Source organism: Homo sapiens, chromosome 11, assembly GCF_000001405.40.
Source record: "Homo sapiens chromosome 11, GRCh38.p14 Primary Assembly".
In the NCBI taxonomy this organism is placed as follows: domain Eukaryota; kingdom Metazoa; phylum Chordata; class Mammalia; order Primates; family Hominidae; genus Homo; species Homo sapiens.
Window position 1 is genome coordinate 11,992,861 of NC_000011.10, and position 17,137 is coordinate 12,009,997.

Genomic DNA, 17,137 nt, shown 5'->3' on the forward strand with positions numbered 1-17,137 from the left:
TAGCAATGCAAATGATCTTTATATTTCTTTGATCTAATAATCAAAGAAATATAAACAAAACGAAGATATCTTTTTTCTTTGCCTATCATATGATCACGCACTGTTAACACCCACTGTAGGTGAGGGCTGGTGAAACACAGCCTCAGAAGTTGATGCTAAAAATAAAATGGGTGTAGCCTTCCTAGAGGAAAATTTGTCAGTATCTCTCAAAATTTTAGATATGCATACCCTTTGACTTAGCAATTTAATTTCTAGCATTTACACTGAAAGTATTTGCAAAACCATTCAAAAATATAGAGATGTTTAGACCAAAATTGTAAATTCACAAACTCTTTTGAAAATAAAGAAATCTATAAAGGGTCTCTGCAAGCTTAAAATCCTCTGGAAAGATCTACTAATGATTTAATATATGTCTTACCAGGATTTTTTATGCATACTTTTTTCTAAAACTAAGAGATTTCATATACCATATATGTATATTTTATATACTTTAAATATTATATATACTGTTCTGCAATTTTTTTTCACTTAATGTTTGATTGAAGACAACCTTTTATACCATCTCCACAGTATTAACTCCAAAGTATTTTGATTTTAGATGTGGAATCGCTTCTATTTAATGAATTCTTTCTTGGAAGATATTGAGGTTGAGGAGAGTACAACTTAATATACCAGGTAGCAGCACAAAAAGAAATGCCTACCCCATAAAAATTGCTCACCCACATCAACTTTATTTATTTGGGAATTATTTACCCATTTCTCAGAATGATACAGAGCTCTTCAATTTTTCTTATATATCTTTTCCTACTGAATAATGCAAGTGGGCCTTATATTTAGACATAAATCACGAAGTCAACGCAAAATATAAATCTCGAAACACAAATGTACCCAAACTCTGTGTGGTTGTCAGACTATGGAACTGAACATTCACACAAGCCTTTGCTATCAACCTTAGGACAATAAGTCTGTTTCTTTCTGCAGAAACCAGTATCACCCCTTGCCAACTTGGGGCCCCAACTTGGAACTTATCAGTACCCAACCATCGCCTAGTCCCCTGGTCGTTCATTTTGACCTATCCTTCCCTTTGTCTGTATCCCCAATCCTCAACCTAGACATATAGGACAGGCACGGTTAGGAACAACAGCGGGATGAGTCAGCCTTGTGGCCAGGAACACAGAGCTCCTGGCAGAGCACATCACTCAGAGAGCGAGGCAGGCTGCTGCAGAATGAAAGCAGCCCGAGGCTACAAATGTCAGAGGAAAGACGCCTGTGCCTGTGGAGACCTTTCGCATCTCCCCCCAGTCTCATGCCATTCTTTTTTCTGTAAAGTTGCTGGGAACCAGCAAATTAGAACCCAGTTTTAATTACTCTTCAGTAATAATGAACCTCACACAAAGAGCCTTTATAAACCTTGCCACACTAGATTCTCACTCAGTCTTGTGAAAGGGGGATTATTAGCCCCATTTGATAGCTGAAGAAACCGAGTCACAAAGGGCAGAGCTTGTAAAAGGCAATGCAGGGCTCGAACCGAGGTCTGCATCTCACCTTCTTCAAACTTCTTCATTCTGCCTCAAAATGGACAGAAGGGAAGGGCTGCATTTCCTGGGACTCAGCCACCACCCTAGCCTCCCTGGACCTTGCAGGTCTCCCCAGGAGGCAGATCCTCTGGGAACTGATTGAGTCCCTCTAGAGGTGCCGCACCCTCCCCTGGTGCACTTCTGTTAAAATCATAAGCCCCCAGCGATTCCTCATCATGTTACCTTCTGACACTCCATTAAATGGATTGAGTCCAGCATCAAAAACCAGGGCGCAGGGAGAAAACAAAGCCAGCACCCCACTCGAGAGTGTATGAACAAGTTGGGGTCAGGGAAGAACTTGAGACCTGAGGGAGAAAGCGCTTGTTCGATACACTTTCCTCTCCCACTTTCTCGCTTGGTCTCTCTGGGCTTGGAGGTGATGGGTGCTCACTGCTCCATGGGAAAAGACGGTCACGGCTTAACACCCCATTCTCCCCAGGCTCCAATACATTTAACAGGCAAAGTATCCTCACAACATGCGGTCTCACACTTGTCGGGAACTCCATGATCACTGTCCTCAGTCTGCTGTCCCAGTCAAAAAGCCACCACCAGCACTGGAACAAGGAAGTCACTGGGTCACTCAAATCTCTACAAGCTGGGTGCTTTTGGCAGGAAAATCCATCCACCTGTGGCCTCAGAAGTCTGTTGTTTGTTTGTTTCTAGAGACAGGGTATTCCTGTCACCCAGGCTGGAGTGCAGTGATGCAATCATAGCTCACTGCAGCCTCGACCGCCTGGGCTCAAGCGATCCTCCTGCCTCAGCCTCCTGAGTGGCTGGAACCACAGGCATGTGCCACCAGGCCCGGCTAATTTTTTTTATTTTTTATTTTTTGTAGAGGGGTCTCAATTTCTTACCCCGGTTGGTCTTGAACTCCTGTCTTCAAGTGATCCTCCCACCTCAGCCCTCCAAAGTGCTGGGACTACAGGTGTGGGCCACTGTACCCAGCCTTCCAGAAGTCTTGGCCAGTATCTTGGAGTTGCTTGTACATGATTGAACTTACAGCTTCAAACTAGGTGTGTTCACCTAGATACAAACCAGCTCACTTTTTAACATCAAATTCTAATGTGAAACCGGAAAGACAACACATGCAGGACATGCTAAGCCTTGTAGCTGCGAGTTGGATTTTAAAGAGGATGTGTGCCATCAAAAGGGTGCCTTGGCTAATTGGGCCAGACTCTTCCTATGTGGGGACACAGTTCCATAAATAAAAGTGTCCTATTAATGCACAATGGCTTGCCCATGCTCTAGCTTCTACATGCTGCTTTCCTCCTCACCCCCAGCACAAAAGCAGCACAGCATCAGTGCGTCTGCCACTGACCTGTGAAGTGGGGCAGGCGGCAAGTGCAGCACAAAAGCCTCACAACAAAGACGTCAGACCACATCCCCATCAGCCGATGTGCTCAGGTGCAATAACATGCTGCGGTGTCCTTTTCCCCTTTCACATTTGAGTGTAAAAACAGACCAGGGCCTTGCACATACTGCGTGCAATTTCTAGACAGGCATATAGTGTTACTCTCTGTAACTTTCTGTGAGCCTCCTTGGGTTACCATACATATTAATACACATTCCAGCATTTGAAGAAAGGAAAGTATAGGGTGTGTGGTGATTACTTTTAATTGAATTCATCTGGAAATTTTAAAGCCTGAAAATTTAGCTCCTGTGTATAGTATTTTAAGGTTTACACAGCATATGATTTGTCCTTTGCCATGGCAAATCTCCCTCTTCCCTCTGAGAGAAAGTTTCTGCAGTGTGTAATGCATTTCAGAGCCAACCGTAAAAATCATTAAATTGCAAAATGATAGAATGAGACAGTGGTGACAAAGCACAGTCCCCTGCATTCCCTTGATAGTAAACTAGTCTTTATCGCTTTCTATTCAGAAAAAGAGCTCCGTGTCTCTGTAAAGACGATGCTGAAGCCCTAGGTCAACTGTGCCCAGGAATAGGAAGGTGGTTGAATGAAAGAATTCTGTGGACATGGGAAACTAGATCTCACTTCCCTGACTCTGGGCAAGCCACTGCGACAATGAGTGCAGCTCTGTAGTGAGGCACACATGCCACATTCTCTGCCATATGACATCCCTCTCACAGGTGGCTTGAAAAGTCTCCAATCTGTTCTCCAAAGCCCTGTGGGATCGTCCAGACACTGGCCAGTCAAGCATCAGATGCCCCCGGTCTCCCTTCTAGTTAATCAAACGGGAATTTAGTCTAATATAGAAACCCAATATGCTCATATCCTGAGGGTCTGAGCAGGCATCAAGACAACCTTGGCAAGCCTCCAGCACGTGGGGTACTTAGATCTACCGCTCCCCTCAACCACCTGCATTCTCAGGACTGTCATATATGGGGGTTCGGATTCTGCCCTGCACAAGGGGGCCAAGGTGTGTCCTCCATCACACAATGGCCACAGGAGACTGCATGGGCAGGTGTGGAGATTCTGGGCCTCCCAGATGAGATCTGAAGAAGAGTACACAGGGGCACACAAGGCCATGCATGCTTGGGAAAAGTGACGCACAGCACAAAAGTGCAGGCAACCAGTTTCTGCCCAAGCATGCCGTTGGCATGTTCAAGATCTTGTCTCTTCCCCATCCCACTCTCAGAGTCTCAATTCCCCTGACTAAAAGGCACCAACTGGACACAGCTGCCTCGTTGAAAGGGTGGAGGGGGCAGCATGGGATGCACATGTGGCAGCCTCATGTATCCTGGTCCTCCAGCAGGTGCAGATGTGCTCACAGGCACGGCTGCTGCCCTCCCCAGAGCACGGCTGTACCACTGTGCAATGATAGATTAAGTTTTTTTTTTGACTTGAGAACAAAGGCTTTTTTCCTAATTCACAACCCTGTGAGTTCTGCTTCCCCTGCCCTTTTCATTCTACAACTCTGCTCAGGCCTCAATCCTTCATCAAACCCCAAACACAGCCTGAGATCTGGAACACTCTAAACCACTTCCCTCTAGGACCATGATCATATCCTATGGCTGGCTGGTTTTTGTTTCGCTTTCTTCTGTCTCTTCCCACCTTTGGAAGCTGGCCTCTCTTCCATCCCTGCCTTAGTTAACCTTGTCTTCGTTTCAGAGGCTTCTGTGCTGCCAGGGCTGGGAGAGATGATGGACATTGTTACCTCACTTGAAGATGGGGAAACTGAGGTGCCCTAGCTGGTAGGTGACAAAGTGGGGCTTCTAGACTCCACAGCCAGTGCCCTTTCCACTTCACTGCACAGTTCCTCCCCCCACCCCCAGGCTCCCTTGAATGGTGGGTCACTACCATTGCACACAGCCAACTGGACCCCCAGCCTGCTGTAAAAGTCGGCCAGCTCCCGACATTTGAGCACTGTGCCAAAAACAAGGGAAAAAATCCATCAGCTACTAACCAAGACAACACCACCTTCCTAACTGTCATCCATACACTGGTTCCCTTCCAGCCATCAGACCAAAAGACGTGGGGAAAATCCTCAGTGCCCTGGGAAGGCTGAGGATGCAGAAGCCATCTGGATACAGGGGGGCTGGCTTCCTGCGGTCTTCATAAAAAAGGCACACTTTCCCTACTGGCCACTCCTCAGCAGGCGTGTGCATCCGAAGCCAGCACATCTTTGGGAAGATGAAGTGCAGTTGAGCCACCTCTGGTCTGGGAGTTAGGAGACCAGTGACTCCAACCAGGTCATCCCCCGACCTGTGCCCAGGTTTTCTTTCTGTGAAATCACACCCCTTCCAAATTTATGACTCTATAATTCTGTGAAATCCATTCTGCCTCTGGACTAAGCAACAGGCAACTAACAGAAGCAATCACAGGGGACCAGAGCCTAGCCCTGAAATGGACGGACAGCCTTTTTCCCTTTAGGCCATTGGGCTCCACATAAGGTGTTCTTGTTCTCAAACTGCCTGACCAGAGGTGGGATTACAAAAGGGGTAGCCATCCCAGAGGCTCTGGGGATTTCACCACCTGATATACCAGGTCTGTCACCAAAGTCCCAGTCAACATGTCTGGTACTTGCTTGTACCCCTTTCAAAGCTGAGATGGGCCATGCAAATGACCACTCAATTTAATTTATCTGTTGTTTCTGATGCCAAGTGCATGGAGGCGTAACCTATTACTGGACTACATCTGTCTGGTCAGAAATGTAGGAATTGAGGAATCTCGGTAGAAATGAGTCAGGAGACTCCACTCCCTCCTGCCCATGGTCTGCATCTGAGTCACCGTTGGCAAACTGAATGAAAATGAAAGTGAGTGTGTCGGGGTGCAAGTACAGGGGAAATGACAACTTACGTGGCTCCTTCTGCCTTCTTCGTCTCCCACAGATGTGATAACTGTCTCTGAAAAGACCATTTGTCCAGTCTGGTTGTTGGTTATCTACAGTAAAACAGGTACAATGAAAGTAAAATAGAAGGAATTCTGGACAAATTCCACAAGTTGTTTTTGTGTTTTGTTTTCCATTTTCTGAAGCAGGAGCATCCAGTATAGGAGTCGAAATGCCCACCCCGCTTTCTTTCTGAGTTCCCCCAGCAGCTGTGAGATGGACGGCTTCCCCTGGGCACAGTGATAAGAAATGTTAACAGAGTCAGCCTCATAGGGTTGCTATGAGGAGGAAATGAGGGGATCCGGAGAAATCACTCCGCACAGTGCCCAACACCCAGCAAAACGCTCAAAGATGTCAGCTGTTTCTATCTTTCTTGGGGCTCATCACTTGAAACTCAATGTCAACTTTATTCTTGACAAATTACAAGTCCGGGTGTCTAGTTGAACATCTTTCATGAAAAGCAAGCAGGTTTTAGCTCTAGCAGCCCTACCTGATTCTAGTGAATGGCTTCATTTCATCAAGAAAGTGCTTAAGTATAATGAGAGACTTGTTCCAATATTCCTGTATCTGTTGTCTGCCTCTGATTCTGTAACCAGGTGCAGGCATCTCAAAGCTAAGTCTAACATAGAACCCAGGCTCTTCCTGCCCCATGAAAGGTCACGTCTAATGTCTGATTTGGTGATGAAGGACAGAAAAGATGTTTGGTCACCTGGCCAAGATGATGAAACCCCATCTCTACTAAAAATACAAAATTTAGCCGCAGTGGCAAGTGCCGATAATCCCAGCTACTCGGGAGGCTGAGGCAGGAGAATTGCTTGAACCTGGGCTGCAGAGGTTGCAGTGAGCCGAAATCGTGCCACTGCACTACTCCAGCCTGGGCGATAGAGTGAGACTCCATCTCAAAAACAAACAAACAAACAAACAAACAGAAAGAAAGAAAAGAAAAGATGCTGGCTCAGGAGCTAGGAGATGTGTGTTCTTTGAGCTCTGTCTCAGTCACCAGTAACCATCCAGTATGTCACCTGGAACAAATAATATATTTTCTCTGATTCAAAATTTTCTCACTTCTACATCATCTTTAAGGTCTCTGCCAGCTCTAATATCACAGGAATCTGCAGCCAGGACAAAGTGGAAACTCTTGTACTAATTTGCAGAAGGGAATCAAATTCTAGTTCTGAGAAGGTAAGGATCATGCTTTTACATTTTTACCTAAATAATTCCTCTCCCCAAATGAAATGATCTCTTCCCTTATGCCAGCTTTTTATAGAATTAACCAATGTCATATTTTAAAAAATTCTACAAGCCTGTATGTATGGGTTGCATGACTTATTAGAACCTTTATTATAACAATTTGTATTTTTCTTAAATCTCCAGAAGAAGAATATAAGTTTTCCAAATATGTTTCACTACTACTGAGCTTTTCTTCTATGAAGCATTGCATAAGACTAGTGTTTTTTGTTTGTTTGTTTGTTTGTTTGTTTGTTTGTTTGTCTTTTGACACAGAGTCTTGCTCTGTCGCCCAGGCTGGAGTACAGTTGCGATGATCTCGGCTCACTGCAACCTCCGCCTCCCAGGTTCAAGTGATTCTCCTGCCTCAGCCTCCCTGAGTAGCTGGGACTACAGGTGCGTGCCACCATGCCCAGCTAATTTTTGTAGTTTTAGTAGAGACGGGGTTTCGCCATGTTGGCCAGGCTGGTCTCGAGCTCCTGATCTCAGGTGATCCGCCCGCCTTGGCCTCCCAAAGTGCTGGGAATATAGGCATAAGCCACCGTGCCTGGCCTTTTTTTTTTTTCTTTTTTTTGACAGTCTCACTCTGTCACCCAGGCTGGAATGCAGTGGCATGATCTCAGCTCACTGCAACCTCTGCTTCCAGGTTCAAGTGATTCTCCTACCTCAGTTTCCCAAGTCGCTGGGATTACAGGCACGTGACACCATGCCTGGCTAAGGCTAATTTTTTTTTTTTTGTATTTTTATTAGAAGTGGGGTTTCACCATGTTGGCCAGGCTGGTCTCGAACTCCTAACCTCAAGTGATCCTCCCACCTTAGCCTCCCAAAGTGCTGGGATTACAGGCCTGAGCCATCACGCCTGGCCGAAGATTGGTGTTCTATGAAGCCCAGTTGAGAACTACTGCACTGTGTTAATAACATAACTTTATTATAATAACAGTAATAATAAGAACAGTGGTTTTTGCATTGCATTTTACAGTTTACAATGAACTTTCATATACTTTAGGTCATTTGACCTGCACAGTACTGTAATGTAGATGTTGATATCCTTATTTCATAAATGCAGTTAGTGAGAATCAGGACATTTAAGTAATTTTTCAAAAATCACACTAGTGACTGGTAGGACTCACACTCAGGTATTCTGACATTTACAAGAAGCAACTTTAAGAAGCAACCAAACCTGTTGGTTAATTATTGTCAGAAAGGGTGACTTGATATTGGTTTTGACAAGAATAAAATAATCACTTTGAAAACATTCTTCAGTCGCAGATGAGCAATGCCAAAGGATTATGTTCTGCTGGTAAACTCATTCATTTACCTGGAGCTCATACACTCTGTAGCTGATCCATCTAACTGAGCCCATTACGATGCAGTGGGAGAAGTGCCACACAAAAGCTACTTTATAGTCAAGGCAACGGCACATAAAAATTGATCCCCTGTGCTCTGTGGCACAGAAACACTATTGTTTCAACCAAGTAATTACCTGCGCACTTGAATAAAAGTGAGGCTCTTTTGTGAAGCCGCTGTGCCCTTGCATACAGGAGTTGAGATGAGCTGAGGGGGCAGGCTCCTTGATATTCACAACGGGATGCTCACAACGACCCTGAATATCTGCACAGCACACAGTCTTAGGCAGTTTGCTCTCAGAGTCCTGCCAAATCATGTCAGAGACATTGCACACCAGGGGCAAGCTAGTGCTATGTTCCTTGAGATTCGCAGAGCTTTCTTCATCAGGTCAGAATGGGAATGAACCTGGTTGTTCTTCATGCATGATGTTAGACCAAGAGGCACTCAGACAGGTGGTAGTTTGGGGAAAAATCTGCCAGAGAATTTTGAACGCACAACCAGCAAATGAATGTTTAATTTTGTAGCAATAGAGGGTTTCTCTTTTGGAAATGGGGTATATCATATTTACATTCCTCCTAAAAAAAAGTGAGGGTCAATTCACCATAACGTGGTCTCTAGTTCAATCCCTACTGAGACATACATAAAAACCTATGAGATAGATCAATTCCACAAATTCAATGCTAGGAAAGGGTCTTTTTAGACATCCATTTGCTTTCTTTTTTTCAAATGATAATCCCTGGACATTCCTTTGCAACTGGACTGGCAGGAAGCCTAGGGTTAAATATATTGCTTAAATGCAAAAGCAGTTTAGGATCCTGATACATTGTCTCTCCACTTTCAACAGTAACATTACTCCTTCTGGTTTTCAATCCGTATTTTATGATTCTCAATTGTAGTTTGGGCTTGTATATCACATATGAAAAAACAAAAACAAAAAAACCTTAGTTCTCTGATGGGACTGGACGCTATAGAAAGGAGGAAGTGCTGGCCATGACTTACCTTGTGAATTTCTCGGTGCACATGGATGGTATTATTTCCAACCTTCGTGTCTGTGTTGGTCTCATTGTGATAGCTGGGAGGTAAGTTTGCCAGGTTCACTTCTGATGATGCTTTAGCAGCAGCTTCTTCTGCCTCCATCTATTAAATCGATGAATTTAATGAGCAAAATTATTTTCTCTTGTTACAAATGGGAGTCTATTAGAAAAAAAAAATCTCTTTTCCTCTTCTGCAATTACAAAGAATGATGATGATGATAGGTGCTATTAATTGAGTACTCACTATGATAAGATATTATACTAAACGTTTTACATATATTACAGCACTGAAATTTCACAATCTCTCTGGGAGGTGGGTGTTAATGTCCTCATATTACAAATAGGGAAACTGAGGCTCAGGAAGACTAGATAAATTCCCCAGAGTCCCAGGAAAGGGTGGAGCTGGGATTTGAACATGTTTCCACTAGATAGTCTTGCTCCCTGTGTAAACGCTGTTGATGCCCTGCCCATCTCCTGGTGGCCTAATCTGGAGGTCACCTGTATCCAGTTCCCATACATGCCAACAACCAACTCTGTCTCTCTCTAAGGGCATTCTCTGGTCACCAAAGTATGCTCAGTCTGCAGAGGCCCCAAGTGCTAGGGAGTTAACATCCTAGCAATGAAAGTCAGGCTATGGAGGTAAACAGTCTAGCTTCTCCCTTCGCTAGACAATTCTAAAGCATGTAGAATCTACGTAGTCTCCCTCTAAGGCCTCCAGTGGGATGGAGCCCTAGATGCCCGCAGCAGTAACCTGCTTGCAGGCATACCGTTGATTGTCTTTCTTTTCTTTCATCACACTTTCCCACTTCCTGCTAGTGTTTTCTGGGAGCACATCCCAAATGCACTATTTGCTCTTAAGTCCTTGTGGCAGGACCTGTTGTTGGTGGTGGTAGGGGCAGGGGATGGAGGGAACCTAAACTTACTCCCTGTAGGTAGGGCCACAGCTGTGTCTCCTTCCCCACCCTGCCTCTTGGGTACCCTTGTAGGAAATCCTTGCAGAGGGACCCTTGTAGAGGGTCAGTTAACCAGTTCCCGGGGTCCACACCCCTTCTGGTTTTCTTAGACATATGTTCTTCTCTGGTGTCAGGTTTCTGTGGCCGCTGTCCTCAAATCCTCCAGGCTCATGATCCTCCATAACATCTATACCAGATATGTCAGTGACCTCATATCTGCACCCAACTTCCCCTTCCAGATTTATCACCCTGTCCTGGCCCTGATGAGTGGGCAGTTGACAATGTGACCTGTTCACAGCTGATGGGACCCAAAGGGAGGCCACATCATAGACTAATTGAGCCAATCAGATACTCTCTCTAGGAATTTCAAATGAGAGACATAAAGAGAAGTTCTACCTGATAGTTGGCAATTTTCCAACACTGCTATTTTTGACTATGGGCTATTTTTATTTTTTTTTTTAAAAAAAGAATGCTCAAAAAGTATTTTCCTATTTAAAAAAATCACTGTCCTCTATCCCCTTAAGTACTAGATGAGCCCCTGCTTTAACCACCAGGTTTGCTGAGCTGAGGAGGATAAGAGGAAAGAATCCTCATGTCTCAATGCAACACAAAAACACTAAACTCAAAGTGTGAATAAAACCTGGTAGGCAGAAAGGCTCAACAAGGACTTAGTCAGTGGCCGGATTCTGTGCTGGATTCTGAGATGGCTGCTGAGATGTTTGAAACTTGATCACTGGCTTCATAACAATAATAATTCTAAGAATAGCCCCCACGTTTGGGGCATTGACTATGTCTGAATCGTTGCACCAGATGCCTTGAATATTGACAGCAACCTTATGGGGAAGCTGTGATTATAGAGTCAGGTCCAAAAGTTTAAAAAATTGAAATATCTGGATCCCTTCATGGACCCGCTGAATTGGGATTTCTAGAGATGAGACCCTGATAATACTGAGCTTCTCAGCTTATTCTGAGGATTTCCCTCCCCTCCCTCTGATCCCCAGTTAAGAATCTCCGTTCCAGGCAATAGGGAACTACAGCAAGTTCCAGAAGGCTAGCGGGAAATAATATAAAGAGTAGATCAGAAAGAGAGGGGAGTCAGGAAACTGGCTAGAATTAGGTCTAGGAGATGGGAGCTACTTCTGGGTAGGGACCTTCTAGGTGGGAAAGACTCTAAGTAAGTCTAGAAGGATCAAGCCACTGAGAGATGGCCACTGGATGAGTCAAGTCATTGCCTGCAGCATCCTCGGAGAGGAACACAGTGGAAAGTACCAGGATTCTGGAGTCAGACAAGGTGGGTTCAAGTCCTGGCTCTGCCACAAAGTAGCTGTATGACTTTAGGCAAGATACCAAATCCCACTAAACCTCAGCTTGCTCATTTGTAAAATAGGGATGTCCTACTTTGTTGAGTAGATATAAGAATTAAGGACCATGCAGTAGATATAAGAATTAAGGCATGAAATACACTATCTGCCACACAGCAAAGATGAAATACACAGCTGTTTTTATCCCGTTGCCCTTTAAGAAGGCAGTTTCAAAAGAAGCCAGTTTGTTTTGCCAGAGTTCTGAAGGGAATGGGTAGCTAGAAGCAGGAAGAGCAAACGTTGATATCATGTGTTTGAAGAGCTTGCCAACAAAGGGGAGAAGAAATGGGGCTGAGATAGAAGACAGAATGGGCAAGAAAATGACTTTCCTTAAAAGCAAGAGACCTTGCCCTCAGTTACCACTCTGGTTAGTGATAGAAAAAAACGCAGCTGGGAAGAGAAGACTGAAGGTGCTGGAGAGGACCCACCCAGAAGAAGAGAATGTTTTAGTGTTTTTAAAATTCCCATCGGGATCAGTTTGGCTTTCAAATAATTGACAAGTTGCCAAACCTAGAATTTGCTCTGGGCTGAGCAGATAGTCTTTTTATAAAACTTTTCCCCCCAGCTCAGCCACTGGTTATTTCAACAGAATGAGCTAACGGTTCTTAAATGGCACCATGAACTAAAAGTATAGTTTACAATGGAAATTTCAACCGCAACTATTATTGCCACTAGCAAGAGAAACTTAAGTCTGAAGCAAAAGGAGCTGTTTCGTAGAGGAGGAATGTGAATGCTATTAAAAATGGCACTTATACTAGAAATAGGTGAGGCAGTAAGAACATTCTAAAATGAGTGAGTTACAGAGCTGGCCATGAGGGGAAGAGAAACAGAGTGGTTATATCTTCAGAATACATTGATTGGTAGCATATAGAATAGTAACACAGGAAAGTAGGAATATCCCAGATTGAAGCCATTTGAAGATATGCTTCTTCCAATAATGACCGTACAAGTAGAGCTGCTTTGTCCTTCCCCTTAAGAAACTTCAACAGCTTGATTCAGCTGGAACATTGAAAATGCCAGGAAGTTACTTGAAAGGAGATTCATGATGCAACTATGTAAACAAATAATGCATCTGGCCCAGGTCCTTTTTGATTTTTCCCCTGAACAATGACTAAATACCAATTATCCTGTGTCTATGAGATTTAAGGGGCATTCTGGCAGTCTCCATAAAAAGTTAATACTAATAACCACAGTCTATAAACAATCTATTGTATTCTATTTTTGAAGATATCTAAAAGATACTTTTAGTATTTTAAGATTAATTTTTAATGGTTTAAGATATTTTAAAAGATAGATTCTATTGAGAATCTATCAGACACTGGTGGTGTTTTGTTATCATTCATACTGCTACTAGTAATATGATGATAATGATACCTGTTACTTATTTACAACCAACCATCATGTCATCCTTACAGCCACCTCACAATGAAGCTACCTGTATTACACGTGTTTTACTTAACCCCATTTTAGGCAGTCAGCGGATGGCCTGCCCTAGAACCACAGGCATCACAAGCTCAATTTAATGTGAAGCTGCAGAATTAAGAGACATTGGGGCCTATATGACTCCCTTCACCCTTTAATTGTTCCATGTCATGATAGTTTCACAATCACAGGAAACAAAGATCATGGATCTTGGGCTCTTGACCTGACCAGTGGATATTCAGGGATAGCTGCCCAACTCACTGATTTGCTTTACTTGCAGCATCTCATTTAATTCTCACCTTACCCTAAGAGGTGGACATTTCTCCACTTCAGACTCGGAACGCCACTGCCAGTAAGTGGCAGAGCAGGGACTGGATGAGGGAAGATCAGTCCCCACTGCCTCTTCTCCTGCCATGGTGTTCAACCTCTCTCATCCTGTACCCACTGCCAGCGAGGACACCTCTGGGAAAGAGTGGGGTAGAAGTGACAGCCCACATCTCCTCTGGTGGCAAACTTCAACCCCCCAACCTACACAGAGCCACATCTAGAGGGAGGAAAGCTGGGGTCTTGGCAAAATCCAGTCTGGATAACGCCCATGGAGAAGACCCCGTCACTAGGTCCTGCAGGGCCCCACACTGCTCTGCTCAAGAAGAGACTGAAGAGGCCCTTGCTGCTCTCTCTCCTCCCTCAGCAGAAGCTAACGTCAGAGGACCACGCTGCAGACTTTCTGAACAGTGGTGGGCACAAAAACATAGAGGTGACTTAGTCAGTCTTACCGGGAATCTGTGTGCAGGAGGGAAAGTCCTAGAACCTGGATAAGGAAAGCAGATGGCCTGCCCTAGAACCAGAGGCATCGCAAACTCCACTTAATTTGAAGCTTCAGAGTTAAGAGACATTGGGGCCTATCTGAATCCCTTCACCCTTTAATTGCTCCATGTCATGATTGTTTTGCAATCACAGGAAACAGAAAGATCATGGGTCTTGGGATCTGGGCCTGTCCAGTGGATATTCAAGGACAGCTGCCCATTTCACTGCCTCCCAAGCCAGTGTCCCCTTCACTGCAAACTCCACAGGCTAACTGTTGTGGAGTGGGAGGGGAAATAGCCCCAAACTACAAAGGGCTGCGGGGAGAAAGCAACTTCCCCCTGGAGACAAGGGCCAGCAGTTAAGGCTTTGCCCAAGGGGGATACCAAGCTGGAGACAGCAGGGATGTGAAGCCAGACCAGGGGCCAACCAGCCTGGACATTGGTTTCCTGCTGCCTCCTTCACTAGGACGGCTGGCTCCTCTCTATAGACACAGGCTACAGACAGATTGGGCCCAACAGCGCCCTCGTCTACCCACCCCAGGCACCAGGGACAGCTCCCCGCACCTGGACAGAGAGGGCTGGGCCAGTGACATCTCCTGCCCAGGTAGCCCTGGGCATGCGTGGGTGACCATCACAGAGGACAGAACAAGATGCCACCCACAGTGTTTAGACCTGGAGGTGATGGAGGGCAGAAGCTAGGCAAAGCTTTGCTAAGGTACGTGGTATCTGATAATAGTTGCTAAATACTGCGCACCTATTATTTGCCAGGTGCCCACACATATGACATTTAGTTTTCACAGGAAACTGAGGTGCAGGATATTAAGTGATTTGCCCAATGTCACCCTGCTACTGAGTGGCAGAGGAGGACCTGAGCCCAGGACAACTGCGAAGCACCGTTGGGTGGAGGGGGTATTGCCTCTCACATCCTCATCCGCCACTCATACAGTGCTGAGATTTAGGATTTCCATCTTCCCTCTCTGCCCCCACATTGCGTGAGAAGCAAGACAGCCCAGACAGACTGCCAGCAAAGCTCAGGGCTCTTTGCCTCTTTGTCCCTGCATGGCATCCTAACAAGCTCAAAGCATAACGGACAAGCTAGAACTTGGCGATGCCTGGAGCTTGTCCCGGGTTTCTGTGAAACCACAGTGCTGGAATACCAGGGGCCCTGCAAACCTCTGCTGACAATAGGGAAGGCCAACGGCATGCCTGACGCCAACTGCAGGCAGGTGGTGGCCCCAGCTACCTAGGGAGGGTCCAGTGCAGAGCCTCTCGGTGGACAGGCTCAGATCCAGACTTTTTGGCAAGGAGGCAAAACGAGGCGGGAGTAGGGATCACCGTGCGCTGCCTCCAGGTCACTCCGCATCTGCTGTCGGCCCTTCCCAGGCCCTGCGCGGGACCCGAGGTCCCTGGCCAGCGCTCTTCCATGCCTTCCCAGACTTCGCTGCCCCCAGTCTGGCGCTTCTCAGAGCCCCGCGCCGCCAGGGCGCACCCACCTCTTCCACCGCGCTGCGCAATTTGTGCTGCGTGTCCTCCATCAGTTCCTCAACCTCGCGGAACATCTCATTGAGGGTGGCCTCCTCCTGCGGGTAGCTGAGAGCCGGGCCGGGCTTGACTGGAGCCGAGGTCGCCGTCGGAGCGGGCGCGGGGGCCGTGGGGACCGCCGCCGCCAGCAGCAGGCACAGCAGGGTGGCCCCAAGCCGCTGCATCTCCGCTCTGCGCCCGCAGCCGCCGCCTGTGTGTCCCGGAACGCGATCAGAGGCGCGCGGACCACCCCCCTCGCTGGGCCCGCCGCCCCGCCCCGTTCCGCCCCGCCGCCCGCCCCTGGCGCCCCTCTTTCCCGCACCCGCCCGGAGACGGGAGGAAACCGAGGCCCCTGAAAACGCAGCTCCCCTACACCCGAAAAGACGCGACCCCACCCGCTCCAGCCCGAGCCCCGATCGCCCCAGGACCCCGCACCCCCATCCTCGAGCACAAGCTGAGCTCTGCTCCTCACCTGTGATGCTGGAGCCCTCGCCAGAGCAACCGAACCCGGATCCTCTACGCTAATAGCTCCCAAGCCCCAGCTCACCTAGACTCTGTCCCCGGTTCAAACCCTAGCCCCTCCTCGACCAGGTCAGAGTGCCCGACCCCCACTTCCACCTCAAGCCTCTCTCAGCCCCTACCTGGGGTGGACCAAGCACAGGTCAGCCCCCTCCCCTTGGCGTCGGGTCCTACTCGAGCGCCCCGCCCCACATCCACCAAGAGAGGCTGAGCTCAGCAGAGTCGTCCCCTCCCCCGCCGCCGCCCCTCACCCACCCCGACTGGACCGAGTTGCGCTGCGGGCCGGACTGGATCTGCTCGCTCCCGCCGGGAGGCCGCCGGGCTGCGGGTGCAGATGCGGGAGCGGCGCGGTGGGCGGGCCGCGGGTGCGGGAGCGCGGCGGGGTGCGGCAGCGCCGGTACCCGAGGGAGCCCGCAAGACGCGCCCCGCCCGCCCACCAGGCTCCCTCTCCGCCCCCGCCCCGAGCCCCGCCCGCCCACCAGGCCCACCCCGCCCCGCGGAGGGGCCGCAGCCCGGCCATTGGCCAGCCGGGGCGCCGGCCACCTCACGCCCCACGCCCCACGCCCTCCTCTTCTGCCTCAGCGACCAGCTCTACCGAAGGCAGCCATCTCCTTCACTGCCTGCCCCTGCGCCCGCGGCATCCCAGGCCCGTCTTCTCTGGCCTCCAGGCTTGCAACAGCCCACCGAGGTTGGGGGTAGGGGGAATGTTCCTCAGTCCCACCTTGGTCTTTCCAAGCCAACCTCTGTCCTGTGAAATCCTCAGGAAAAATCCCAGCCCCCAGCCTGGCATTCAAGCCATCACCGCTGGCCTTAGTCTGCCGTGATTGACACCGTGCTCCAGCCAGGATAACGCACTTGCAGCTCCTGGAATGGGAGAACGTCATGAGAAAGTCAGCAAGCTCCTCAAGGGTGGCATAGAGGAGTGGTCAGGACCAGACACCTGCAGCCAGCTCTGCTCCTTCCTAACTTCCCGCCCTGGCGAAGTTACCAGATTTGTATGCGTCCCAGTTAGCCCTAATATAAAACTTTGACAAGTCTCAAAAACGTAATAAGGAGTGGGTAGTGGAGAATCAGAGAAGTT

The 17,137-nt window shown here is 47.6% G+C and overlaps 1 protein-coding gene across 8 annotated transcripts in view, besides 1 other annotated feature; it reads right to left on the reverse strand.

Moving 5' to 3' along the window:
* Positions 1-16,885, reverse strand: part of DKK3 (dickkopf Wnt signaling pathway inhibitor 3) — a 46,710-nt gene extending 29,825 nt beyond the window's left edge. For 2 of the 8 annotated variants that reach the window (XM_047426775.1, XM_047426774.1), the window contains exons 1-4: positions 16,778-16,885; positions 15,510-15,748; positions 9,440-9,577; positions 5,836-5,919 (exon numbers count right to left, since the gene is read on the reverse strand). In XM_047426775.1, coding sequence (XP_047282731.1) covers positions 5,836-5,919; positions 9,440-9,577; positions 15,510-15,722 — 435 coding nt within the window. In that variant the 5' untranslated portion in view covers positions 15,723-15,748; positions 16,778-16,885. Of the gene's footprint in view, positions 1-5,835; positions 5,920-9,439; positions 9,578-15,509; positions 15,767-16,009; positions 16,281-16,311; positions 16,477-16,777 lie in introns of those variants that run through there. The other 6 variants (NM_013253.5, NM_001330220.3, XM_006718178.3 and 3 more) reach the window with 4 other exon arrangements.
* Positions 14,018-14,953: an enhancer, noted in NCBI's record as "H3K4me1 hESC enhancer chr11:12028425-12029360 (GRCh37/hg19 assembly coordinates)". NCBI's record gives its function as "activates a minimal SCP1, AML or CMV promoter by ChIP-STARR-seq in primed H9 embryonic stem cells {active_cell/tissue: H9 hESC(primed)}" and the evidence as "EXISTENCE:reporter gene assay evidence [ECO:0000049][PMID:30033119]".
* Positions 16,886-17,137: the final 252 nt, after the last annotated feature.